The 26,548-nt window shown below is 40.4% G+C and overlaps 1 protein-coding gene across 5 annotated transcripts in view, besides 1 other annotated feature; it reads right to left on the bottom strand.

Annotated features, from left to right (window-relative positions):
• The window catches only part of MACROD2 (mono-ADP ribosylhydrolase 2), a 2,057,682-nt gene that overhangs the window by 401,995 nt on the left and 1,629,139 nt on the right, over positions 1-26,548 (bottom strand). The window lies entirely within an intron of this gene.
• Positions 23,117-23,670: an enhancer, noted in NCBI's record as "OCT4-NANOG hESC enhancer chr20:15608178-15608731 (GRCh37/hg19 assembly coordinates)". NCBI's record gives its function as "activates a minimal SCP1, AML or CMV promoter by ChIP-STARR-seq in naive and primed H9 embryonic stem cells {active_cell/tissue: H9 hESC(naive and primed)}" and the evidence as "EXISTENCE:reporter gene assay evidence [ECO:0000049][PMID:30033119]".

The following is a 26,548-nucleotide window of genomic DNA, read 5'->3' as shown; positions in this document are numbered from 1 at the left end:
ATTGCATGGGTGGATTTGGCACAAGGACCGCCTCTGGGGCCAGCTGTGCAGAAATGTTGTTTGCCTCAGAAGTTGGTGTTTACCAAATATGGCCTCTGGAACAAACCAAAAACCCAACCATTTTCAAATTTTCAAAGGGTGTCATGAAGTTCTCAAAGATATTCTCCAAGCAAAAATAATTTGTATTCACTTCAATTTCAAAAAGTAATAAACAGTACCCTCTAAGAGAAGAGATTATGCCAAGAGCAGATAGAAAGGCTAGGATGTCCAGTTCCATAAGGATAAGAAGATCATTGTCAGGTGTGCTGATGACACCAACATGGTCAATAATGTAGAGTTTTCAGTCTTCTGAAAAGGTGTGGAATGGCAAGCGCAAGGGGTTCTCAGGTTTCACATGTTATATGCCTTGTTTCTCCTATTTTAGCATCTTTTGCATACTAGGTTGTATTTTAATTCATTGAAAAACAAAAAAAAATTGTGCTATCCAACATCAGTGGTGCAGATAGGCAGTATCATGAACAGAACTGCTGAACAGTCTTTAGACAACACTGTGAAATTTGTTTTCCTTTATTTTATAAAAAGTGAGTGGAAAACAGAAAAAAAATTAAATGTATATTTATAAGTTCTATGACCTGAACACAGATGGTCATTTTCAGGTGAGCCTAGAGCAAGGAACTTGCTCAAATCAGAAGCACTTTGGATTGACTTTGCTGTATGTGTGTTTGCCAAGCGAAAGAATATACTGCAATTAAAGAAGATAACAAAAGTGTGAGAGAAATGACAAAGAAAGGCGGTAGTATGGAGAAAAAGGAGATCAGTTGCTGGAAAGCAGCATAATTTTTTTTCAGAGACTCAAAAGCAGAGGGGTGTCCTGCTCCACGGAACTGTTGATACAATCTGGTATACATTGTCATTTATCAACAGGAAAGGAGGTTGACGTTCAGCTTTCTCATGACCATTTATTTTTAAGAAAACCTGTTTGGATTCCATTAAAGCTGGCATTGCTGAGCCCAGCCAGATTTCCTACACATTCCCTACTTAATTCCTTTATACAAACCAGAAGCAGCAAGTCCTTCCCCAGATCCAAATCATGACCCTTTATCTACTGATAGTCACATCAAGTAAGCAGAGAGAACTAGAATTTAAGGGAAGCTATTGTCTTACAATATTAACATTTGTTATCTAAATTTAATAGTGAATTATTATTTTTAAATAGTCATGGGTATGTTTCATAGCATCCAATGGGGAAGAAGTAAGTCTATTTATGTATACCATAATTAAGAATTACAAAAGATATGAAACTATTTTAGAAGCAAATCTTCTGCTCAAATTTTGTATATGTGACATCTTTGGGTTATGGAAAGCATTCTTGATAAAGAAACACACAGTCTTAAATGGCTTTGCAATAATACACACCCAGATTTTTTTCCAAGCCTATAAAGGACATTGTGGCTTCCTCCCCAAAGATCCCCTCCTCAAAAAGTAGACCCTAATTTGTCTAAGCCAATCAGAGTGGTACTATCTTTCTTGACACAGAGATTGGTTAAGAAATCGCAGGCCTAAACTAATTGCCACATAGCAACCTAATGACTTCTGTGAGTCACTCAGAAGTGGCCCCAAGTAAGGCAAAGCTTAGGACTTTCAATGGGATTTTGGAAACAGATGTTTTCTCTGTGTCTGGACAGTGAGAGTTGAGGCTATGAGATTTGGAACAACTGCAGGCAAGGAATAAAATGAGTGAGCTCTGTCATAATTCACGACTCTGGAACTTGCATGGTCTTTACTGTGTTTGCTCTTGGAGCGCTCTTGAAATTTTAAACTTACCAACTGACTGCTCAGCCATACCTTTGTAAACATGTGCTATACTCTTATAATTGAATACAAGTCAGTATGTGCAACAATGTGGAAATAACAATGCTATCCGATTTAATAAAATGTTTGAACACTGAAAAAGAAGAAAGAAAGAAAGAAAGAAAGAAAGAAAGAAAGAAAGAAGGAAAGAAAGAAGAAAGGAAAAAGAAGGAGAAAGAGAAAGAGAGAAAGAAAGAAAAGAAAGAAAGAGGAAGGGAAGGGAAGGGAGGGGAGGGGAGGGAAGGGGAGGGGAGGGGAGGGAAGGGGAGGGAAGGGGAGGGGAGGAGAAAAGAAAAAAGCAAAGAAAGAAAGAAACAGATCCAGTTCCAGATACATTCTTCAGCTTCTAAAACAAGCTATTCTGAGGCTGTTCTACTTCTGGACTATCCAGTGACCTGAGTCAATAAATTTCCTCTATTACATAAGCCATTTTTATTTGGTTTCCTCTTTATAGACTAAGTAAAGAGTTTTAACAGATAGGATAAATTTAGACAAGTTTCTAATCTGTTTAGGACATCCTTTTTCTCATCTCTCAGTGGAAACATTCCATCTCTCTAATGGTCTCATTAAGGGATAAGTTTAATAAGAGTCACTCTTTCACCCATCCATCCATCCATCCATCCATCCATCCACCATCCATCCACCCATCCATCTACCTGTTCATCTATGTATCTATTTGCTCCTTTATTTAATGAGCACATTTTATGTGTCAAACACTGTCGCGTGAGAAAGAGCAATGAACACAAATGACAAAGTCCCTAATGTTACACTATTATACAACAAAGAAGTGATTTCAGAATTTCTCAGATGTGTATGCCATGGAGCTCACTAAGGTTGATAGGAAGTATTGAGGAATTGTATAACATGGTCAGGGAAGGCCACAATGATAAGAATGGACATTGCCACAGAGATGAGAAATAAATGAGGAGGCCAGCCAGGCAAAGATGAAGGAAAGCATTCCAGGAGCAGAAAAAGGAGGCCCAAGGTCCTGTGGAGTCCTGTATTGGACTTATTCAAGTGATAGCAAGAAGGCTTGTGGCTGGAGCTCATGTAGAGTGAGATGATGCTTCTTAAATATCATGGCCAATCTATCACCAGCCCTATTAAGTTAACCACCTAAAAATTATTTTAATCTATTACTTTCTCTTATTTCCACAGCCTTGGCTTCTATCTTCATCAACATTAAATTCCCTGGTGGCAGCAATCTCCTCAGTGCACTTCCCTCCCTGAGTGTTACACCTCTGCCGTCATCCATTACAGTGTTTTGAGAACAATCTATAGACACATGCATACGCCAAGAAAGCCTTCAGTTAAAATTGTCTGTTGTCCTCTGGGCACAGTGGCTCATGCCTGTAATCCCAGCACTTTGGGTTAGGAGGCCAAGGCGGGCAGATTACTTGAGGTCAGGAGTTTGAGAACAGCCTGGCCAACATGGTGAGACCCCATCTCTACTAAAAATACAAAAATTAGCCGATGCGGTGGTGCACGCCTGTAGTTCCAGCTACTTGGGAGACTGAGGCAGGAGAATCACTTGAACCTGGGAGGCTGAGGTTGCAGTGAGCCAAGATTGCACCACTGCACTCTCGCCTGGGTGACAGAGCAAGACTCCATCTCAAAAAAAAAAAAAAATCATCTATTGTCTCTCCATTACTTACGGTAGTGACCTGCAAACTTATATTCATCCAGACCCTATCAGTAAAATAATTTTAGCACATACTTTTCCCACAAGAATTATATTTCCTCTGTTATTGCATTTGTATGCTATACATATTTTAAAGCTTTACCAAAAACGGAAAGAAAAAACAGTATCAAAGAGAAATATAAAGACAAACTTTAATATTTTCTTCTTGTGTCTCAGTGGATCATTTTGTGCATCCTAATGTGGGGATTGCTGACTCCTTAGCATGGCAGATCCTTCAGCCCTTTGCTAACTCTATGACTTCCTCTCTTGTCTCATGTTTATGCCGTAATAGAACCAAGCTGTTTGTAACTCTTCATACATACCATCTTTGTTTCCTGCCCCTGTGCTTTTGCCCAGGCTGTTTCTTCCACCTGTCATTTCTTCTTCCCAGTCTATCTAGGTAATTTCTCCTTAACCTTTTGGTGTCTACTTAGCTGACAACTCTTCCATAAATAATTCTATGACATTTGTACTCCCAGGCTGGGAGAGGAGAACTCTAAGATTCCATAGCATCGCTGCTACTTCCCTTTTCCTATATTCTCACCGACTGTTCTGTATTGCATTTGGCAAAGAGTACGCATTCATTTAGAACTTTTATGGTGGAAAAAGTAATGGGTGAATGAATAAATGATTAAGTAAACGATACCACAGAATGAGATGCAATATGGTCAGGTGAAGGACACACAGTATGGATTCTGGAGCCAAACAGTCTGGGTTCCAAATAAGGCTGCACTATGTCTGTGCTGTGTGTATTAGTCCGTTTTCACGCTACTGTAAAGAACTGCCTGACACTGAGTAATTTACAAAGGAAAGAGGTTTAACTGACTCACAGTTCAGCATGGCTGGGGAGGCCTCATGAAACTTAACAATCATGGTGGACGGCGAAGGAGAAGCAAGGCACCTTTTTCACAAGGCTGCAGGAAAGAGAAGTGCCAATCGAAGGGAGAAGAGCCCCTTCTAAAACCATCAGATCTCATGAGAACACACTCACTATCATAAAAGCATGGGGGAACTGCCCCCATGATCCAATTACCTCCACCTGGTCTCTCCCTCGATACGTGCGGACTATATGGATTATGGGGATTACAATTCAAGATGAGATTTGGGTGGAGACACAAAGCCTAACCATATCACTATGTAACCTTAACCAGAGAATTTCTCCAAGCCTCAGTTGACTTTTTGTAAAATAGGAGTCATAAAATAACACGTAGCTCCCAAGATTGTTTTAAGGATTAAAGGAACTAAAATACGAAGACTTTTCAGCACAAATTTCCACCTTAATACATTTTAGCCATTCTCTATCAATAAATGTTAAATATGTCCCCATACTATTTATGATGGTGAGAAATTCAGGCTTGGGGCTCATCAGAAGGTTTAGTTCTTGTTGTGACAAGGTGATATTGTAAAACCAGTGTGAGTCCTGACAACAGATTTTAAAAATGATAAGCCTGTGTTTTTGCTGTGAATTAATACCTAATAATGGTGAATTCACCTTTGAACTGCCTCAGGGGTGTGTTGAAAGGAAGAAGTAAATAATAATAGGATCCTATCAGCTCAGAACAGTGAGACAGTCCACTGTGAATCACAAAAGAAACCCCGAGAAAAAGAAGCAGGAGCTGTTGAGGCAGTGTGGAACCAGTACAATTTAAAAAATGTTGACTACAAGAGAATACCAGTCATTCTTTTGATATTTGCATAATATGGATTTGTGAACAGCAAATAATACTTCTGAAAGCCATGTCTACCATTTATATCGCATGTGTATGTGATTTCAAATTAGCTTGCCTGCTAAGTTACCTCTTAATCCAACAGAGTGTAACAAAGCTGAAGGAGCAAGTGCAATGCATTAAATACACATTTCTTAAAAATAAAGGCCTAGCCATGCATTCAGCCTGTCCTTAATACCACATATTATATATTTACACAGCCTTGCTGTATTGGTTCCAGCTTACTTACTATAAGTAAGAGTATCTTTTTAACTTTTGAAAGATATTTTCTTAGGGAACTCATGAGGTTTCTTCCCACCTATTTTACCCCGATAACAATATCTTTTAAAATACAATTTCTGTAATATTCATCTCTCCTCTGCCAGATTCTGTTTTCTCTTTTGCTGCTTTTCAGAATTCAGAGTGGAGTGCTCACATGCAAGATGAGGCAGTGAGCTTTTCCGAGTTTTTCAGAGAAAAAGGATTTGCAGAGAAAACTCCTCCATTCATTTCTTTGGAACATCTTCAATGTATGTCTCACTACCTCAGAGTTCCTGCAAAAGCTCAGATAATTGGAGAAAAATGGTATGGCAGAATGCATTAACATGACACAGTATGTAAACAGTTACGGAAACACAGAAGCAACAGAAAAATTCCACATTCATCCCTACAGAGATTGAGAGTCTCAGGGCTCTGTGATGATATGGGGACCCTCTTGCCTCTGGGTCATTGACTGTAATTTCACGCTAGGAGGAGGCAACTGTCCACCATTCCGGTGCAGCAACTGATCTGTGGTTCAGGTAAAATAAGACATCATTCCCCTTCAGCTCAGAGACAATCATTTATTTTGAGTCACGAGAATGTGCTTTAAACATGGTGATGAAGACATTAAAGGCAAGGTGGTGTTTGAATTGGAGAAGGCTTGTAAGGTGAACTTTGGAGTCAAATTCTGGATTTACTTGAAAAAAATTACTTAGGCTGGGCGTGGTAGCTCACGCCTGTAATCCCAACACTTTGGGAGGCTGAGGCAGGTGGATCACCTAGGTCAGGGGTTCGAGACCAGCCTCACCAACATGGTGAAACTCCGTCTCTACTAAAAATACAAAAATTAGCCAGGCATAGTGGTGGGCAACTGTAATCCCAGCTACTTGGGAGGCTGAGGCAAGAGAATCACTTGAGCCTGGGAGGCGGAGGTTGCACTGAGCCGAGACCGTGCCATTGTACTCCAGCCTAGGCAACATGAGTGAAACTTCATGTCAAAAAAATAAAAAATTACTTAACCTCTTTAGGTCTGATAGATCACCCATCTTTCAAATGAGTTAAATAATTACTTAACCTCATTTAGCTGCTTGTGAGAACTGTATAAACTAATTCTTATAAAAATAAAACCATAGAGTGCATAGTGAATAGAAGTAAATTCTCGATAGAAAGAAGTATTATTGTCATTAGTACTGTTAAGACAAAAGAGAATTTATGTAAGAAAACAGAAGGAAAGAGGTTGCTGAGTGAGGCTGAGGAGGGGAAGGGTGAATGCAGACTCTATGCAGGCCCATCTGACAATTACTAGGATTCTCCCTGGATTTGGGGACTATGAAGAAAGAAGCTTCAACCTTGGCTCCACAGTCTACCAAAGATCCCTGCAGAGAGGGATGATTCTCTGTGTACTATATTACTGGGTAAGTGGGGGAGGTTTAGATGCTGGAGGTGGTGGGGATGTAACGATGTTAGGGTTTCTATCTCAGCACTGTATGCTATATTAGCTGTGTGACTTTGCCAGAGTCACTTTCTCTCTGTGAGAGTCAATGGGGATGCAGTGTAGAGGGCTGGTTCCTTTCCTTCTTAGGAACAAGATCTTGTTTTTGTTTTGGGTAAGCACATTCCTGCCCTGAGTTATGTTTTCCAGCTTATAAGTAGGTATGGTATATGTCTAAATAATGGCCAATGAGACACATTGCGAGGACTATCATGGAACTTAAAGGGAGAGAGGCATTATCCTTTTTTATTCCCACCTCCATCCTCTTGTCTAGAAACAGAAGTGATGGCTGGACCCCTAGTGGCCATCTTAAGACCGTGAGGATGGTAGAGCAGATGACATCTGGAACACCCAAAATGCTTTTATATGAATGAAACATAAATGTCCATCTAATTTTAAGCCTCTACTTTGAGATTTTCTGTCACATGCAGCCAAACCTAAGTTCTAACAAGGCAAATATAATAATGGTACCTCCCCAATAAGATTTTTGTAGTGATTTATCAAGTTTAGCTTGATAAAGTGGTTAGCACACGATTTGGTTTTGTGTATTTATAAATTCATTCATTCATTAAATATTTATCATATCTACTCTGTTTCAAACCTTCTCCTTGGCATTGAGAACACACAGGTGAATAAGACTATAAGGCTCAGACCACAAACAAACCATATTCCATAAAAGAGACTGATGACAAACGTGCAATGACATAAGTCAATCTGACAGAGACTGAAATCTGATAGAAGAAAATTAAATGGGGTTATGCTGTTGAAAGTAGAATGAAGGAGAGGACATTATAGTGGTCAAAGAAAGTCTCTTTAAGGAAATGACATTTCAATGACATCAGAATGATAAGAAATGAGTCAGATACAGATTTTGAAGGAAGAACAGTCCAGGTGACGAAGAGGGTAAGTTGGAGGATGCTGAAGTGGGAAGATGATTAGTATGGTATCCAAATAAGCCTTCCAGGCTACAGCATGGGGAACAAGGTTGAGGGTAGAAGGTGAGATTAACATGTAAGCAGGTCAGGTTGTAGAGAACGTTGAACAGCTGGTGGAAGAGGTACCCATAAATATACATCATGGAAGTAGGATCTGTATAATCCAGGTCACCCCCAAATCCAAAATTAGTGCAATTAAACACCATCAAGTTACTGCACTTATTTCTTGCAATATGGAAAAACTTGTTTTCCAGCTAAAGCAAAGTGGATAAATATTCCAACAAGATGTTCAATTGGTGGCAAGAATTATGACTTTATAAGGGCCCATGCGTGGTTGAATATAAACAGGAAGTCTCCTGAGGCAGTGAGTTGGCATGCAAGTAATCTTGTCCCATGAGTCCAGACAGAATGTCCCGTGTGTATGCATGTGGCAGGAGACGTACAGTGTGCTCAGAGAGGAACGTGAAGGCAGAGCAGAGTGTGCACACATACACACACACATACACACACACAAACACACACAGAAGACAGGATAGAGATTCTCCTCAGCAGTTACTCCAGGGAGAAATGTTCTAGCAAAGAAAAGATTATTTTTATTTATGTATTATTTTTGTTTGTTTTTCTTGCATGCACACGTGTGTGTGTGTGTGTGTGTGTGTGTGTGTGTGTGTGTGTGTGTTCATGACAGGTACACAGTTCCCTACTTCCCTCCCTCTTTAGGTTACTCTAACCACAAATCAGAGAGGAAAACTACTTAATGATGTGATATTTTGCTTTATTGAGAGAGAACCGGGCATAGACATTCCTTACCTGGGGTAATTGATAGTGTACCATTAAAAACACTCACAGAAGGTTGAATTCGAAAACCACCTAACAGGCAAAGTTAAAGAAGAGTGAGAATGGGAAATGGTTGCTGGGATCGATTCCAGACCTGCTTGCTTTATGATGCTTGTAATTGTTTGTTCAAGCGTTCCTGTATGGATTGTTTTTCTACGATACTATCTATCCTTTCAGAAATAACCGAGGACAGATGCTGAACTATTGCCACAATCCCCTCCATTGTCTAGAAATGAGCTACACTGATTTCAAAACTTCTATTATTTTGTGGCTCACAGGATCACCAGAGATGGAATCTTTTGTAAGCTTGGGGAGCTTGCCTTTCTTTATGTTCTCATTTTTTGTCTTCCCCAAATACTGAGTAGACAGGAAAGAAAATAGGTTTTCTCAACTGTCTCTGGATTCTTAGGGCTTCTTATGCCCAAAAGGCACTGTTTGCAGCAAAGCCACCTTCAGGCCACTTGGAAAAGAAGAAGACTTTGCAGTATATACATGTTTTCATACATTAGAATGAGTTTTACTGTTTCATGGTTCACACTGATTTTTTAAACAAAATTTTATTAAGGGTTTTGGCAAGAGAAGGATATGTGGAAGAAATTTTCATTTGGCAATAGCTGGGCTATTTTTGGTTAGGAGACAAAGAAAAATCTCCCTTGCAGTATAAAAAAATTATAATAAAACTCTAACTATTCTATATCTTCCTTGTCTTCAGATGAATAATTTACTCACTGGAATTGCCTCTAAAACATATATGCCTTTTGGGAAAAGGCAAAGAGGTGTAAGACGCTTGTGTGTTAGGATGAAATAGAAGACCCTACCAAAATGCACGCTGCCCCTGTTTTTATTTTTGTCTGTACATCTTCTCCACTAATAATGGAGCTCTGTTGCATTATATACCAGATTCCATGAAGAGCAAAAAAGCTTGTCTCTCTGGGTGATGATGAAAGACACACAATTCTAGAGAAGACCACGGATTCTCCAGAAATTCAGCAAAGCATGTCCTCCATAGAGGCATGAATCTTTTACCAATTCCTCATATTCCTTCCACTAATCTACACTATTTATTTCCACCAGACTTTGCTGGATCTACTGTTTTAATGCCAGTGAATTCTACTCTAGTTAGTCTGCCTCAAAACAGCACCAAAGGCCCAAAGTGCTTAGATATAAGAGTTGAAGTCTGGAGAAAGCAGTTGGATGAAAGAGAAGAAAAGAATAAGAAAAACTGAGCATGAGGCAAGAGGAGGCATGGTGATCAAGGGACCTTGATTCGCAACTGAAGCAATGCAACTTTTAGAAAAATAAGAAAGAGCCCTCTGCAAGCATCCACAATCAGCAACTCCAATAAACTCTATTTTCAATATACCTGCTCTGGCTAGATTGCTTCTTTGTAAAATAATGTGCATATGTAAGAGGGAGACAGCCCAGCTACCAGGGCATTGAGCCCACTGGCCCAAGGAAATGAGGAAGGTCTGGAATGTGAGACAGTGAAATTTAAAGGAAAGCTTCCAATAAGCCCAGCTGGCGGGTAAGCTGTGGGATGGCAGACGAGGCAGCAGGGGCCCTTGTGGGTCCATCTCTGTCTCACTGTCAGCCTGGCAGGATAGCCCACCCGGGTCTGTTTGCTGGTGGGACTCAGAAACCTCCTGAAAAAGAACCATCATAAAAAGGGAGAATAGAGGCTCCCAGGCTTCATGAAAAGGAAACAGGCCAGAGTTTGAGGAGAAGAGCAGTTCCCAGCACAGCATCACATCTGTCCTTCAAGAATAATTTGCAGGTCCTTCAAACAGAAGCTGAGGATGGGGGAGAGCCTGTAAGAAAGAGTGAAGGGATGATAAAACAAGAAAGGCCACATGACTATGTTCTCTGCATGGGCAGGGCTGCCTCATAGTTTGTGTAACGGCAGATAGAACCACAGCAGAGCGGAGCCTCTGGATTTGCTATGGCAGTGGGACATGTGCACAGGGCTGGAGACACTGCCAATATCCTCTCAAGAGCAGAGAGGCCACCCAAGCATCACGTTTGGCCCCCTCTGGCCTCTTCCCAACTCTTGTCACTCTGCGTCTGTACCTGGGTCTCACCGTCTTTGTCTCAGTCTCCATCACCATCTCTCTCTCTCTCGCTATCCACTTCTCTCTCTATCCTCTCTCCTTTTCCTTTATTTCCCCCTCACTGTCTCACTCTTTCACTATTTCTCATTTCATCTGTATCTGCCTTATTCTAGCATGTGTTCTCCCTCACCATCTTTTTCTCTTTTCCTGTTTTTCTCTCTCCCTTCCTCACATCTCTTTTTCTCTCTTTTATCATTTCTCCCTCTCTATCCCCTTTTCTCTCTCCCTCTATCCTTTTATCTCCTTTTTTCTCTCACCTTCTCTCACGCCCCCTTTCTCTCTTCTTCTCTCACCCCTTTTCTCTCTCCTTCTCTCTATCATCCCCTTTCTCTCTCCTTCTCTCTCACCCCCTCTTTCTTTCTCCTTCTTTCTCTCATCCCCTCTCTCTCCTTTTCTGCCTCTCTCTCTTTCTCTCCTTCTCTCCCTGTCCTTTTTCTCTCCTTTCTCCTACATCTCTCTCCTCTCTCTTTCCTCTCCCCTTCCTCCTTCTCTTCTTCTCTTTGTTTCTTTCCTTTTCTCTTTCCCCCCACTCTCTTTTCTCATGGTCTATATCCCAAACCCATCAGTGGTAGGAAAGAGGCTTGAGGTCCCACTGAACAAACATGGCTGAAGGCCAGGAAGGACATCACCTCTTGGGGATCACTGCTGATGGAGAGATACCCATCATTGGTGATGGAGAGATACTTCAGGGCTGGAGAGATACCCAAAAGCTGGCTCTGGCTGGTCTACTATGAACAGGAACTATCTGCCTTGAAGTCCTAGATCTGTGCCTGGCTCTGCAGGGGTGGCCACAGCAGCTTCTTCCGTAACATCTTTGCAAATGGCTCCATCAGGGCCAGAGTTTTCCTGCACTACAGTGGGGGCTGAGGAGAGTAGGGAGTAGGAACTCCCGGGCAGTCTCAAGATAAGGATGACCTCGAATTTCAGAGAAAAGACTGATATATTTTTCACTAACTGCCTTCTCATGGAGCCTCAAAATTGTACAGGACTAAGCGATGCAGGTCGTGAGCAGTTCTGATTATGAATTCTTCAATCTGTCTCTAACCCTCCCTACCATTTCATTTTCATCAAAAATATTTTCCTGGCATATAATTCAAATCCCTATCAGATTTGATCTTTATTGTATTTTTCATTATTTATTCAGCTCTGCATCAGCTCCTCTGCTGTGGGTGATCTCCTTTGAAGTGAAGCCTTCTTAGAAATGGCTCTTTTGTAACAGTGTTCCTTCCACTGTGCCCAGGATTGATCTACAATGCAGCCCGAGATAAGCCCCGAACCTGCTGTTGCTGTCTCTGTTAAATTCCAAATGTCTTTCACTGGCACCTTCCAGAAAGCATTTATCGGGAGCCTTTTAGGAAACAGAAATGACACATCCTGACTGCTGAGATCATAAGCCAACTGTCTACTCACACCCTGCGGACCTGAATATTTCAACTCTGTTCCGGATGGAGTCAAAAATTTCCAAATAATCATAAAAATGTCCTTCTCACTGGCCTGTAATTCATATGCTTTTTATCAACTCTTGAACCGTGAAAAGTTAACCACCTGGCCCCTTTGCCCCAGTCAGCATGCTCTTCTCTCCTACATAATTATCAGCTCTTAAGTAGAATTCTGATTTTATAATGCTCTACTATCATATGAATTCAAGAGCACTGGCCATGGTGGTTATTGTTTGTAATCTGGATTTGTCAAAAGAGGAATCCAGGAACTTAATTAAGTTCCTAGAGGCCACTCAGCAAGTCAATACCCAAGACAAAGGCAGGCCAGTGCCCACAGTCCTGAGGTTCACTGCCTCCCTCCAGGAGGACTATTGGTCTTGTCTAATGACTTGCAGTTCTTTTCTGACACATTCAGACTCATGGCCTATGACATTCACCTGTTAATATTGCTAGCTTTTAAAAAGTAACCATTTCTTTCTTCATTCCAAGCCTCGCACACTTATATTTGGTATGGTTGAGTGAGTGGTGTACCCTGCTAGAAAAACAAAACAAAACAAAAAAACCCAACACTGGTTTCCATTTCTATTGAGATATTTTTTATTTCTCCCTCTCCTGGAAAGAACAGAGATGCACAGGGGTCTGGTGAGAGGGCAAAGGGGGAGGAACAGAGCCCGAGGTTGCCATGCTTCCATGTGGAATGCAGCTCCATTTCCCTAATACTGAGGGTTTCTTCATGTCAGAGCCAAATTCCTTGTGTTTGTTTTGCAGCCAGGTGGCATGGAACAATGCACGGCTCATTCCAAGGGAGCTCAGTTAGAACACATGCTTTAACTCAATCAACACAAGCCTCGTAAAAAAAAATTCTGGGCCTTCCTGTCATTTTCTCTCACTAAAGGAGTTTATAGCCGACAGCATGGCCTTTAATTAAATTTGGACATCACACACCCAACAGAGAAACAACCAAAGTAAGCCAAGTCTTTATGTAAACTTTAGTTACTTATTAGGCAAAGGCAGAAAGACAAGCAATATTTATTTTCTGGTTTAGGGCTTAAAAATAATGAATGAGATTCAGGACTGATGTTGAGATTAAAAACTCACTCATCTGTATGTGACAATCATGGAAGAGGGGTTGCCATGGTATCAGCCCACAACCGCGGCTCCCCAGTCCTTCATTATCCATGTAAAGATCGGGGACACAGAAGGTGCTGATCCCTAATTGGACCTGGGCTCACGGTCTCCCTTCTTTTCTCGAACATCCCCCAATGTTGTGGGCCTGTCTTATGTGCATGTTCTCAAAAATAGAGCAGCTACTTGAACATTTTGTAATGCATGCCTTGAGAAATATTTAGATTCTCTCTCAAGCACTGAGAAAGCCAGTCTGAAACAACCCTTTGGCTGGACCAAATGGTGTTGAAAATTTGTCACAGGGTCCCCTGGGTTCTCCTAGTTCTCAAGACATTTGAGTGAGCATCTGAGTGCAGAATTCATTTGCAACCTTCTCCCATTGAACTGTTTGGGAGCTCCGATGTCAATCACCACATAGCCAATAGGAATAAGAAGCTCAATTCACTTTACATGGGTTGAATGATTTGATTTCACACTTACCCCTATGAGAGAGACACTGTTCTTTCCCCTGTTTTACAGACGGAGAAACTGAAGTGCAGAATTAATACAGCAAGTAAATATCAGGACCAGGATGTAAGTCTAGGCTAGTTCCCTCCAGAGCCATAGCTTCAACCCATGGTGTCCCTGAGCTCCAGTCAATGAGTTAGAAAGGAAATCTGCAGTTCTTTGTGGGGAGCATCCTATAAACTTCAGGGATGAGAGACATCTTCACACTCTTTTATGGAGCTGAATCTTATCTGCAGCATTCCTCTTTAACTGCCAGCACACCTTTGCACAAAACACCTTCAGCAGTGAAGTGGCTTCCTGGAGTAGCTGTGTTTGTCCCAGGCAGTTCTTGGAAAAAAATTTCTTACCTCTCTGTAACTTCCATTCATTAGTTTTAGTTCTTAGCCTGCATCTCTCCCATGTGACAGCTCATCCCCTCCTGCTTGGCCCCCAGAGTCATACCTTCTCAGGCAAAACATCCCCCTTCTCTCACTTGTGCATCATAGGACCCCGGCGTTGAGTCTTCCTGCAGGCTGGGAAGGGCAGTGCTCTCAGTCCAGGTAACTGAGTCTTTGTTGACAACAGAAATAATAGAGCACTTTCTGCCCTATCACTCTCCCACTTTTGTTTTACACTGGCCACGAAATCCTGAAAAACCCAGCTAATGATGCACTTTGTCTTTTCGGGGCTTGCTTCAGTCCCTGAAAGATCTGACTATATAAACACTGTGATATACATACAAACAAGGTCAAGGGGATCTGAAACATGAAACCGAACCCATTAACTGCCCCCTATAGGGTTGAGATGATGCATACAAAAAATAATGGATGAACAAATTGAATGGGCTAAAGAATCACATTGTCTTCTGAGACTAGATTCTACATCTATGCATCCCAAGTATTACCATGGAGGTGGAAGCTGATATGGACTTGCTTCAATGATGCAGCTATTCCAGTCTCAAGGGTGCACATATTCTATCTGGTTCTTCTAGAATGTGTTCTTTTGTCAGTGATGTTATAGACCTCAAGCACTTGAGGATACAAAAGTCTCCTTCCCTTAGGGATTTCTAAAATGTTGAATAGAAATTTAGAAAACCACAAACCCTTGGGGATTTCCAAATATCCCTAGCCCTAGGGGATTTCTTTTTTTTTTCCTCTTTTTCCTTTTCTTTTTTCTTTTCTTTTCTTTCTTTTTTTTTTTTTTTTCTTTTGAGAGGGAGCCTCGCTCTGTCGCCCAGGCTGGATGGAGTGCAGTGGCACAATCTCAGCTCACTGCAACCTCCGCCTTTTGGGCTCGAACAGTTCTCCTGCCTCAGCCTGCTGACCAGCTGGGATTACAAGCATGCACCACCACGCCCAGCTAATTTTTGTATTTTTAGAAGAGATGGGGTTTTGCCATGTTGGCCAGGCTGGTCTCAAACTCCTGACTTCAGGTGATCCGCCTGCCTCGGCCTCCCAAAGCGCTGGGATTACAGGTGTGAGCCACCGTGCCCAGCTGCCCTTGGGGATTTCTAAAATGTGGGGTTTTAAAAAATAATTTCAACTTCTATTTTAGAATCAGGAGGCACAGGCACAGGTTTGTTACATGTGTATATTGCAGGATGCTGAGGCTTAGGGTATGAGTGGTCCCATCAATTGTGAGCACAGTACCCAATAGTTTTTTAACCCTCGCTCCCCTCCCTCCCTCCACCCACCCTCTAGTAGCCTCAATGTCTATTGTTGCATCTTTATGTCCAAGAGTACCCAATGTTTAGCTCCCACTTATAGGAGAGAACATACAGTATTTGGCTTTCTATTCCTGTTCTAATTTGCCTAGAATAATGGCTTCTGACTGCATCCATGTTGCTGCAGAGGACATGATTTCATTCTTTTTAAAAATTGAAAATAGAAATGGACATATTACAGTTTCTGCCCTTTGTGTACTAGCTTTGCAAACAGATGGACCGAAACTCAAACACTGGTTTTGCCATTCGTTAGCTTTATGAACTTGTACAAGTTATCTCACTGATCCTCAATTTGTCTGGCATTTAATAGATACTCAGTAAACTATAACTCTTCATTTATGTGGTTATGACTATTTTCATATCAGTCAAAGTTGACTGCAGGAAACAGAAACCTGGTATTTCATGTAGAATGGGATTGAATGCAGTAGCTTAGCTGGCTGCAAAATTCCTAGACAGCATGGTAGATCAGGAGTCAGGAGCCTCACTCTGAACAAATTAGTACAGGGACATAAAACTATAGCTGCTGCAAGCAGAGGTCAGGAAGGCATTGCTGTTGCTGCCACAACTGCTTCTAGACACTTACAAGGCCAAGTCTGACAGCCACAGACACCTGAAAATACTCATTTCTGCAGCCATCTTCACCAACAAAAATAGCAGCAAGAAGATGGCCTTTGCCTTAACTTTATTCAAATCTCATTCAAGTGCATCTAATTGTCAGAACATCATTTACATCTAGAACCCTAGCTGCAAAGGAGTCAGGAAAGTTGATTTTTAACCCTCAAGCCCCTGTGGCACAGTACGACACATTGAAAAAGGTGAAAATGGATGCTGAGCGATAACTGACAATATCCGACACATTACTCCTGGCTGCCATCTCTACCACCAATGGAATGTGGCTTTAGTACCATTGCCACAGCCATGGGGATGGTCTGGCACAGAGTTTGTGGCAATTTTAATCCCCATAAGGTAAGTAACGTGGGTTTCTGGTACTGCAGCCTATAACAATTTACAGACATTTTCTTTGTTTGACACTAATTAGGCCACATGGGATCAGATGCGTGACCTTTTCTGTTTAACATCCTAATGTGAACAACAGAGTTTATCAGCCCTGGGTAGAGAGTCACATTCAGAATTGAAACAAACACATGGGATCAGACTGGAACAGTTTTATGAATAATAAAGACATTTCTGATTAAATAAATTGCTCAGTGCTCAAATCACCATTCAAACAGGAAATTGACTCTTACATCTGTTCTTTATAATAAGCATATGGAAACACACCCTATGAACTTCCAATTAGCCACTCCAATAATACATTATGTCAAATGGGTGGATTACAGATACAGCAGAACCACAAATGATTCAAACTGCTATTTTATTCTCTTCTCTGAGTGTCCAAAGAACTAAGAAACCCATGAATGTCATTTTACCTGTATGCTCATCGTTTGTTTTCTCTGCTCTTTGATTAGCATGAAAAACAATTGACTAATGATAGGCAACCAGAGAGGAAAAAACCTAGTGGATACTAAGGTGGGGAAAGATGAAGGATATGTGTTCATGGTATACAGACAAACTAAAGAGGCATAAACAGATAAAGTGAAACTTTTGAGTTTAAAAAAATGAATTGACAGGAGCAGTATCACTTAATTCTAACTCATCGGAGATGCAAAAGAGGTTGAACTTTTTCTTACAATAGATTCATACAAAACCATTTACAGAGTGAACACTCCTAAAACATGTGTATGTAGACAAACATCTAATTGTAGTTTGCTACACAAAGCCATAAAAAATAAACATTCATTTAAAATACTATTAACTTAATTATGGTAATAGATTCAATGTGTAAACCCAGAAAATTACAGGCTGGTGATATTAGCTTGTTCAATTTTAAAATAATGTGTTGATTATTAATAGCAACCCAGTCCTAGTAATAACCAGATCATGACAGTGGAATGGTAAATACACATGAAGTGTTCAGAAAAAAAAAAAATTCACGGATGCTTCTATTATGGCAAATAAGAGTTGTCATGATTAAAACAGCCCTACCTCTCTAAAAATGAATTAATCAAAACACTTATCCTGAATGGCATTTTCTGGTTCTGGGAATAAATTTGTTACTTCTCACTTGTCACACTAATGAAGTCCCACTGTAAGATTTAAGAGCAACAGCTCATCTGGCATTGTTATTTATATCTCCATTGGAAAGTAGCTGTTTTCTTACTTATAGTGCTTACTGTAAGGTCCAGTTTTAAGAATACAGCAAATTGAGTTAAATAGTGACTCTTGCTGTTGTCTCATTATTTTTTCCTTTTAAATATAATTTTGAAATAAAAAAAAAACTAGTCCTCTTTATTTCAATGCATTCATATTTACCCAAATGAGAAAAGAATAAATTACACAAGTGCAATGTCCACAAAAAACATCAATGAGATACATATGTGTAATAAACCACACAGTTGAAAGGAGGGTGGGTGGTTAAGTCACTCTAGTCTTCACAATCTATAACTCAGTTAAACAATGAAAGGCAAAGTTGTAGGTGCCTCTGTAGGAAGTAGGTAGGTAGGTATAACATGGGGAGATGAACAGATAGAAGGAAGGAAAGAGGGAAGGAGGGGAGGAAGGAAGAAAGAAGGGGAGGAAGGGAGAAAGAAGGGAACGAAAGAAGGATGGAAGGGAGGAAGAGAGTAGAAAAGGAAGGAGGAAAAGAGAGAGGGAAGAAGGAGAGGAGGGAAGGAGGGAGGAAAGGAGGACAGCAGGGGAGGAGGGAAGGAAGGAGAACGGAAAGTAGGCAGGCAAGATAAATAAATAATCGTGTTGTTTTACATTAGACTATTACTAAGACAGACCCCATTCTAAGATGCTGGTTATTCCTATGAAACCTCATGTTATTACAACATAGAAAATCCCTTATGATAGAGTTCTTTGCTACAACCCATTCTTCCTCTGGCCCTCAAAGTTTCAGAAATACTGATCATTTGTTATTTTATATCTGGAAATTACACTGTAAGGTATTTCCTGGTCCTGTCTCTTTTTCTGTACTTTGCACTACTTTGGGACAATTTTTGATTTTGTATATATCACAATGTTTTGTATTTAACTGAGTTGTAATTTCATTGCATTTATCTGTCCATGTAACTGGCCCCCCTCGCCGCTAAACTTGTGAGCTCCTCAGGGGTAGGTATATATTTTACATTTTGTTTGCATTACTAAAGCATAGCATATGGCTTTATACAGAGTATGTGCTCAGTAAATGTTTACAATAAACTGAATTGACACAGTCATTTATTTTTCATTTGGCCACTTTAAAAGACTGTCTTCAGAATAAGCCAAGACTCTTTTTATTTATTTTATTTTTATTCTTTATTTTTATTTTTATTTATTTATTTTTTTTTTGAGTAAGAGTTTCGCTCAAACTCGCTCAAGCTCAAATTTCATTTTGTTGCCCAGGCTGGAGTGCAATGGCACGATCTCAGCTCAGTGCAACCTCCACCTCCCAGGCTCAAGTGATTCTCCTGCCTCGGCCTCCCTAGTAGCTAGGATTACAGGCACCCGTCACTACACCCAGCTAACTTTTTGTATTTTTAGTAGAGACGGGGTTTCACTATGTTGGCCAGGCTGGTCTCGAACTCCTGACTTCAGGCAATCCACCTGCCTCAGCCTCCCAAAGTGCTGGGATTACAGGCGTGAGCCACCATGCCCAGCTGACTGTTTTCAAAATCCCCATGTCCAGATCACCCTCTAGACCAGTGAAATCAAAATGTCTGCAGGTAAGAGCTGGACATCAGTGTTTTTTAAAGCTCTCCAAGTGGTTCCAAGGTGCAACAAAATCTGGAAACCAGTGCTCTACAGCCTTTTCCAGCCACTCTTGGTGCTTTTTGTCAGCAGAGTAGAAGGGGCATTCCCCTGCCCAAGCCCTGTCCCTCCAGACATGCACCAAATAAGGAAAAAGTACTGTAATGGTTCAAGAAAGAGGAATTTAACATTCCTTCTCCCCACCTCCAGTTCCTACCAAATGCTTCACTCCCAGGCTTTGGACAATGTTCTCATTTACTTTCTCACAATGGCTTTTAAAATATATCTCTGGGGGGTTAAAACAGAGTTGAAAGAATGTGTTTGGATTTAAAATAATCTTTCCAAGATGAAAAAAAAAATCATCATTTGATAATGGTTTCTGCCTGCGTTCATTAAAGAGATCATTAATGACACTAAATTCTGGTCCTAGGACTTAATTCAGATCAATAGCTGAACATACACTTCATATTCATTAGTCCAGTGGAACACGCAGATGGGCATGTTTTACTGAAGTGCCTCATCAGAACATATTTAAGGAGCTGAAAGAGACCGTGCTGTCCTTCTGCAAGAACTTGGCAGTATCCCTCTTCCCTCCCGCATGTGGATGAAGATGTCTTTGCTAGTATGTCCCTCTCATTTGGTTAGTTTGGGACTCTTAATACAGTGAATCAGAGTTTGGCCTAAAGTACAGTTTTACAAAACAAACTAATTTTTAGTTACGTATTCAGAAAGGCAGACCTTCCTATAAATATTCCCTTTATGTGGAATTTGCAATCATATCTACAATGATCTGTTAAGCAGATGCCTCTGTGTGCAACAGATGAAGCTAACCTGGGGTAAACTTAAAGTTCTGTTGGAATCGATTTTGTGGTCCCCTCTTTAAATTCCCTGTCCCAGTTTGGATCTTCCAACTCAGTTGGAGGCTTCACACCAAGGCTGAGAAAAAATCTATAAGAGAAAAAACAAATTGCATTCTGCCCCTGAGGTGAGAACTTAGCGAGGGTAATTCACAAAGAGTTAGGAAAAGACCACCCTCTCCCTTGCATTTTGTGCACGGCCAAAGGGCATGCATCTACATTTGCTGTTGATGATTTTCGTGAACATTAAACTCACTTGCAGAATTTATTCTCCATTCCCCATTAGGAGAGTTATGCAACCTGAATCCTTAATGGACTTAATCAGCAGGATAACATGACATTTCTCCCGTCCTGTGCTAAGTACGAGGCAGAATACAAAGACATATTAGAGACATCTCTGCCCTTGAGGATTTTATAATCCAGTTGGAGAGATGAGAGGGTCACAAAAACTACTATAATGTATGACATGCCTACTAAAGGGACTGCTCAAGTCAAGGCTCATTTGTTTGCAAGGAAGAGAAACACTCAAAATTGCTCAAGTTCAGATGCACAACATTTTTGCAGAAAGCCCAAGGAAAGTTAAACTACCAGCTTCTTGGAAAGGCAAATGCAGAGAGCACAGAAGTTTTGTCTTATCTCTTGCGATATCATCTTGCCTGCTTTATTTATCCCTCTTGTCTGGCTTCCTCTGCATCTGCTCTGAAGATCACTATATGTCAAACTTTCTAGAAGATACTTCATATACACTAACTCAGTTACTTTCATACTTGAAAATATCTTAAAGAAGGAGATACTACTATCTCCTCTATCGTCATCATCAAAAGCAGGACCGGAAGCACTATGGGCTGGACACGGTGCCAAGTGACTTCCTTATGTTATCTAGCCTTATCACAGACCTGGGAAGAAAAAGAATGAGAACGGAAAAAAAATGAAAGGGCAGAGAGCAGGAGATTTTACAGAAGAAAATGTTTGACCATTCCCACATTGCTAAATTACTTCAAAGCATTCATTCCTCTGAGTCCTGTGTAGACATCGTTCTTTTGATTTTGCGATTTAGGAAAACATCTTCTGCTACATCCATATCTGCATGTACAGATCATTTTCTCTTTCACTTCCTGGCAGCTGAGCCCAAATTTACTCTTAAGTCTGTTACTTAGAAAGGAAACATATTGGATGAGGTTGAACTAAATCTGAAAATCCTCAAAATATCCAAAATTCAACAAGTTTTCACCTGGAAGTATATTTCCCACATGTAATGCACTGTGATGGATGTTGAGACTATTATTTCTACATAAGAACATATACAGCAAAGGCAAGTGAATGTTATTTGGCTGAAAGATGTGGAAAGAGCACTGATTAAATATCAGGAGAGGTTATTTGAATGTAAGGTCCATTTGAACCATTTCTTTCAAAGCTTCAGTAGAATTTTAAGAGAAATATCCCACGTATTTCTATAAGATAAGAAAATACTTAAATGGAAGAATCAGACAGGCGTCTTTCATAATCTCTTGGGAAGGCATAGAGAGTTAGTTAAGCAGAGAATGATGCAGTGGGAGAGAGACGCCCTCACTCTGATTTGGGGTCAATCTACATCAAAACAGTCGCGTCAGAAAAGCTAAAATGGCTAAAATTAACAAGGTCTGATATTAACAGTGGATGTGGAACAACTGAAATTCTCATACACTGCTGGCAAGAGTGCAAATTTGTAAAAACAGTATAGAAAATAGTTAAAGCTAACAGAAGCATATCCTGCAACTCAGCAATTCTACTGCTAGGAATATAACTCCACAGAAATGCGAATATATTTCACCCAATATACAAGAGTATGAATACAAGAGTATTCATACCAGCCCTATTCATTAAAGCTCAAACTGGGAATGACCCAAATGTCCATTAGTAGTAGAATGAATAATTAAAATGTAGTATATTTACATAATGTGATAGAATACTGCAATGAAAATGAAGTACAACTGCATGTAACAACATGGATGACTTTCACAACCATAATATTGAGTCAAAGAAACCAATACACACCATATGATTTCATTTACATAAAGTCCCAAAACAGGCAAAAATAATCCACTGACTGCCTGAGACCCAGTTGCTGAAGATGCCACATGCAGGGCTCTGGTTTTCATTCCAGCTGAACCCAGACTTTCAGTCATCCCCACCAAGGTGCCAGACCTGGGAATGAAGCTATCTTGCTCCTTCTAGACTAGCCCATCTGCCAGCTGAATGGCACTGAGTGTCCTTTGTCCATGTCTTGTATAATAGACTTCTCCAGCCAAGCCTGTCCAAGTTTCTAATAGACAAAATCACGGACTGCAACAAAATGGTTGTTGTATTAAGCCACTAGGTCTTGGGTAGTCTATTATGTACCAATGCATAACTGGAACACCTCTCAATCCACCAGGGTTGAAACTTCCTTGTTTTCTCACACTCATCCTTTTCCCTCTATACTTCAATTAGAGAAGAGCTGCGTGTAGTTAAGAACATGAGCAATAGAGCCAGACATCCTGGGTTCAGAGTCCCACTTAGCAGATTGCTAGCAATATGGCCTCAGCTAATTATTCAAGAGCTCTAAATCTGTTTGCTTATATGAAAATGGGGATAAAGGCTGACCTATTTATTTGGTTGATATGAGGCTTAAATGTATATGTAAATAAAGGTCTAGTATTTAAGGAATTAGGAAATTAAAGAATTCTATTTTTTGATTAATGCTTAGTGTTTTGAAAGTACACAATACATAAAACCCATTAATCCATCAGCCCTGTAGGTTATTTCCCTACCATCTCCCTCCCATATAGTTTCTTCTTTCCATTTCTGCTACCACCACCTAGTTAAATGACTCAGGATAAGTTTCTGCAATGACCTTCAAATTCTTCTTCCCAACTTCTGCTCTTTCCTTGGCATGACATGTCTCACAGAGGTACTAAAACTGACTTTGCAAGAATTATAACAGTGAGAAAATTACGGCAGTGCAAGTCTGATTTAACCCCCCATCTTGCCTTTCCCTTAATCATTCCTGGTCTTAGGCTAAGCTAACTTTAGTTTATAGTTTACATGATAATAGGCTTTCCCCAAAATTCAATCACCTTTGTAAAGCTAATGAAAGGCCATCAGGCTAGGAGAAGGGCAGGAATTCTGCTAAGGCATAGACTGGTCACAAGATCTGTCCTACAGATAACATCACTATTGTAGACTGGCCTTTTGAGACATTTTCCCAGGTTTTTTGCAGGTCTGATACCCATGACTCCACCTGGCCCCCACCAACCTTGCTCTTGCTTCTGTTGCCCCACCCAGAAGTAAGTCAGCTCAAGAGGACAGCTTCAACCCACTATGATTTCATCTCTGCCCCAGCCAATCAGCAGCAAGCATCCATTTTAGCCACACCCACCCCCTTCCCCAAACTGCCTTTGAAAAACCCCTAACCTACAAGTCTTCCAGGAGATTGATATGAGTAGTAACTTGGTCTCCTGTATGGCATGGCCAGCCTCACGTCAATTAAACTCTTTCTTTACCGCAATGCCGTGGTCTTTATTTGTGCAGTGGGGCAGGAAGAACTTGTTGGGTGGTCACATTACCATACTAATCTTCCTAAAACAAAACAAACAAAACTTAATACTCAGCATATTTAAGGCCTTCTAGAGGATGGTCCCAGTTTTTTTTTTTTTTTTTTTTGGTAATCTTTTCTGTTATCTCTTCCCTGCTGGTACCATAGGTTTCCATTTAAAAGAATGACTCTCTGCTTCCCTGAACATGATCCAAATCACTGTTCACAAACTTGTAACTGTCCCAAATGCCTTTTCACACATCTCTACCTACTGAAATCCTATTTACCCCAAAGAGCATTTCAAATCTCAGTCTATCAACTAACACTTTGCTAATTCTGTGTTTCCTTGTTTCTCTGTTAGCATCTCTCTCTCTTCTTCTCTCTTTCATGACTCTCTCTCATGCTTTAGAATTCCACAGCAATAAATCTAAATCTCCTTTGTGACAATGGCCTCAACTATCCACATATTACAGTCATTTGCAATTTTTTTTTGGGGGGGTGGGGTATGGAGTCTTGTTCTGTTGCCCAGGCTGGAGTGCAGTGGCACAATCTCAGCTCACTGCAACCTCCATCTCCTGGGTTCAAGAGATTCTCCTGCCTCAGCCTCCTGAGTAGCTGGGACTACAGGCATGCACCACCATGCCTGGCTAATTTTTGTATTTTTAGTAGAAACAGGGTTTCACCATATTGGCCAAGCTGGTCTCAAACTCCTGACCTCAAGTGATCTGCCCACCTCAGCATCCCAAAGTGCTGGCATTACAGGCATGAGCCAGCGTGCCCACCCCATTTGCAGTTTTCTAAATCTCCATAACATAATATAAACCTTTTAGCTCTAGCCTAATGCTTTGCACCTAGTGGACATTTAATAAATATTTGTTGAATTGTACCAAAAGGCTAGAATGAGCTGAATTTACTGGCAAAAAGAGGCAGGACCTTGTCAAGAGTTTGCACGTCAAACAAAATTTCTGTGTGTCTAATCCATTTTGAAAACTATTTGCATCTCAACTGATGAGAAATGAATTCTATTTTTAAAAACCTCTAAGAAAAGACATTTTACTGCTTCTTTCAGTAACATATCCCAGTGTGTAATAAGCTCTAATGTCAGAATAATCTCATTTTTTTCTAACCTAAATCCTTCATGTTGCAGACTGAGCTATTTCTTCTGGATTTTTTCCAGTGAAGATTTCTTCCAAAAAGAAATAATGCAGTGTTCACTTAGAAATTTCTGCCAGTTTTCCCTTGGCTATTAAGTTTTCCTTCCTTCATCTGTATGGTTAATGCAGGTGCAGCATATTATCACTATCACCACACGGCCTCACTCACTGGACTAAGGTGACTCGCCCAAGAGCAGATGCCTGACCCAAGTTGGGCATCTTTTCCCCAGGATTTTCTGTTCCCTGGGATCATAAAAAGAGTTTGAGATATGTCTTTTTTTTTTTTTTTTTTTTTTTTTGTGGCCAAGGATAACTGATACAAATTTCAAAAGCTATCATCTGCCATGCTCAAAGCGGTAAGGAGAGGGGCAGACTGAAAGGAGAGAGAAGAAAGTTTGCATGTATTGCTGGAAAGAGAATCCAGACAGAATCTAGGAACGTTGTTCCAATCATTCCCAAGACCCATGTGCAGCCTAAGTTTTCTAACTCCTTGCTGTTAAAGTCTTTGTTGGAGTTCAAGAGTCATAAAGATACATTGTTAGACTTACTAGTTCTTGTATTTCTGTCTTTGCAACTAAAATACCTTTTACTAAGCCACTCTCTATCTTACATATGTTTTAATCAATCAACCAGCAAGTGTTTACTTTTTGTATCATAATGGATATAAATGGTAGAAAAATTACGGCAAGCCATTTCTTACCTTTTTTATTTTTCAAGATAAATTAACTCAGTCTCCTTTACGGTTATAGAAATAGTTTTCCATGTCTTTACCCATTGCCATTGACCTTTCCATATCCATCTTCCTCTTTTCTTAATTCCCTAGAGCCGAACCCAGCATGCAGCAAGGTATCTGAATACCACAGAGCATGTCACATTAATGGCCTTCCACAGTCCACATGTCCTGGGCTTACCTGTGAATCCCTTAGCTACGGGGCTTCCTCGTTTTATAGTCACTTGTGGTCTTCTCTACACTTGGATGCTTCTCTTTAGGAAAGAACGTTTGTCATTTTCCTCCTTCATTATCCATTTTTGGCTTTGGACAAAATAGTGTAAGCCAATGTATAAAAGGTTCATTTCTTAGATTCAGCTACTGCTAACAGGAGGCTTTTGCTGACATTCCATATATTTAAACAGAAGGAAAAGGGGGTTTTATTTTATCCCTCACAAACTGCTACATATTGCAGTTAAAGTAAAAAAATCACAAACTGCTAGATATGGAAAGAACCATACCAAAAAGACTTCTAGAAATAATAACAAGATATTAAAAATTACTTATATCAATGAGGTGTAAGAACTAAATAGTGGTGTGTAGGCTCCTGGGCTCTGTAGGGTTAGATTTCATATAGTTGTTATGTTTGGAAGAAAATAAGACTTAACCAGTGGTGCCCAATGTTTAAAATGAAAGCATATTATATAATATTGTCCTATACCAGAAATCAGCAAACTTTTTCTGTAAAGGGCCAGAGAGAAAATGTTGTAGGCTTTGGAGAATGTTGTTTCCACCGTAACAACTCAACTCTGTCATTGTTTGCCACTATTTGTCAGAAA

The sequence above is a fragment of the Homo sapiens genome, chromosome 20, assembly GCF_000001405.40.
Source record: "Homo sapiens chromosome 20, GRCh38.p14 Primary Assembly".
Lineage (NCBI taxonomy): Eukaryota > Metazoa > Chordata > Mammalia > Primates > Hominidae > Homo > Homo sapiens.
The sequence above is the reverse complement of the archived record's forward strand: the minus strand, read 5'-3'. Positions and strand labels throughout refer to the sequence as shown.